The sequence below is a fragment of the Homo sapiens genome, chromosome 5 (genome assembly GCF_000001405.40).
Source record: "Homo sapiens chromosome 5, GRCh38.p14 Primary Assembly".
NCBI lineage: Eukaryota > Metazoa > Chordata > Mammalia > Primates > Hominidae > Homo > Homo sapiens.
This window is the reverse complement of record NC_000005.10, coordinates 3,796,138-3,798,769: the sequence shown is the minus strand read 5'-3', so window position 1 is coordinate 3,798,769 and position 2,632 is coordinate 3,796,138.

The following is a 2,632-nucleotide window of genomic DNA, read 5'->3' as shown; positions in this document are numbered from 1 at the left end:
CAAGACCAGAGCTCTAAAGATGTTCATCTCACTGTTGTTTATATAGAAAAGAACGTGAACACTAGCTAGTGATTTATTAGATGATACAGTGTACATCTTAAGGTCATTAAAAATTATTTAAACATAGGAAAATGTCCATTTGTTAAGTGAAAATCTATAAATTATAATCCTAGTCTTGGGATGGGGGAAATATGTATGAAAAGACAGTGGGTGATTTTACCTTATTTTTGTGTGTGCCTCCATTACTACCATAATAAATATTAATTGATTTCAAATTAGTAAAGAGAAGGTCATTTTTATCTTTAGAAACTTTCAAATTCTAAAATAAAATATAAGTATAAAATTCTACAAATTTTGATGGAGAAAATTAAAAATATCTTTCTGTTTGATAGCAAATATCTTTTAAACCTTTCTTCCATATGTTATTCTATTGGTTAATTCTTCTTTTGCTGCTAAAGGAAGTGGCTGTGGATCAAAGTACTAATGCAAGTGTTCATTGAGCTATTTCAATAATAAATGAACAAATTAATTCATTTTTTAATTTGGCAAATTATTTTTATATTCGTGTTTTAGGTTTGTAATATCACTTGTTATTCAGCTAAGCTTTTATTAAATTTGCCAAATGTAAAATCTTTTAAAGCTTGATGATAAAATTTTTTTTTAGTTTTACAGTTCTCTAAATGTTTTGTCCTACTGAAAACAAGTCACTTAAATCTGACCCATTTCCACTCCTGATGGTATTTTTCTAATCCTTGCTTTACTGCCTAGGTATAAATTTAAACAGTAGCTTAAGTTCAGGCCACCAAGGATTGGGATAAATGCACATTCCACTGCATGATATACGAAAACAGCAGGTGAGAATGGTCTACAGAAAGAAGTGTCTATATTTTAAAATTGACAGAAATTATTTGAGTTCGGTACGCACACATGGGGATTTTTCTTCTAAGGCCATTTTGATTAATTTAATCCACCACGACAAATTCACAATTCAATATGAGAGGTAAGGGTGCCTGAAGATGCCCTTTGCTATCCCCCAAGGGGAAAAAATATGTCTAAGTAAGAGATGAAAACATGGCAAGCCTAAGTAGGTGATAAGGATCTGAACTGTGGCTGGCGTGATAATGCAGGAGTGACAGCTCTGGGAGAAGAGCAGGGTGCCCTGCATTTGCGCTGCTCATGCAGGCGCAGGGATGGATGGAAACTGGCTTTCCACACTCACTGTTTCCTCCAGCATCAGCAAGGAAATGAAGGTTCTGAATGCTTGGATTACACGCCCAGATCAGTACCTGCAGATATTTATTTATTAAATAGAAATTGTGTTTTCTAAATAATTAAGCTCTTGCGTTTTCTTACACTATTCCCCCAAAAAATATTGTCAAGCTTCCAAAAAGCAATTGTTTCAATTTGTGAAAAAAAAAAAGAAAAGAAAAGAGAGAATAAAAGAAGAACATAGATTACATCTAGATTAACTGAGCAAATGTGAATTGTCTTTCTCTAAGTTTCCACTTGGTTAAGTTTGATTTCCTTGGGTGATCTTAAATATTTATTTTCTCTGCTTCTTCTAAAGTCTCCTCAGTTTTTATCCACCCATCCATCCATCCATCCAACCATCCACCCATCCACCCATTCACCCAGCTATTCAGCCAGCCATCCACCCAGCTACCCACCCATCTACCCATCCAGCCATTCACTCATCCACGAATCCACTATCCACCCAACCATCCAGCCATCCAGCCAGCCATGCACCCATGCACCCAAACATCCATCCACTCATCCACCCACCCATTCAGCCAGCCAGCCACCCATCCAGTAATTCACCATTCAGCCAGCCAGCCAACCACCCACCCATCCACCCCATCCAGCCATTCACCCATCCACTCATCCACTATCCACCCAATCATCCATCCAGCCAGCCAGCCAGCCACCCTTTCACCAAATCACCCATCCACCCACTCTCAATTCATCCATCAATCGAGCACCCTCTATTATCGGGTGTTAAGCTGGGCATGCACACAGTAGTAAACTCATGGGTTTTGAGGTTTGTGGAGGTGCAGACATTAGACATATAAGTTCACACATAGTTAGAGATCACAATGGTTATAAACATTATGAAAGCAACTGTGGGGCCTTACAAAGTCATCACATAAAAGACATATAAAATCTAGAGACAGTCAGAGACCGGGTCAAGGTTGCTCTGGGGTGGACAGGAAAGTGACATCACAGCTGAGCCCTGGAGTGCAAGAGGCGGAGTATCCCAGACAGAAGAAACAGCATGAGGGATGCCTTATGGCAGAGAAGGTTAACACTTTTAAGGAACTGAAGGAAGGCAGCTCTGCTGAAGTTCAGGGCCCAGTGAGTACCAATGCAGTGGAAGAGGACTGTGGGTGCAGGGGAATCAGGCTGGATCCCTTGTGTCTGGTCCACTGTGGAAAGTTCTTCACTTTACTGAAAGTGAAGTGAAAAGCAACCGAAGAGTGCAATGTACTGGAGCAATGCCTTCAAATTTTGATTTCTACAATATCTAAAAATTAATTCTGCTCCCTCAAAAAATATCCTGGAGGGAGACAAGGTTATAGCTGCTGGTTCTGGAAAGCAAGCACTGCCAGAACTCAATGTAAGAAGATGAGCTAAA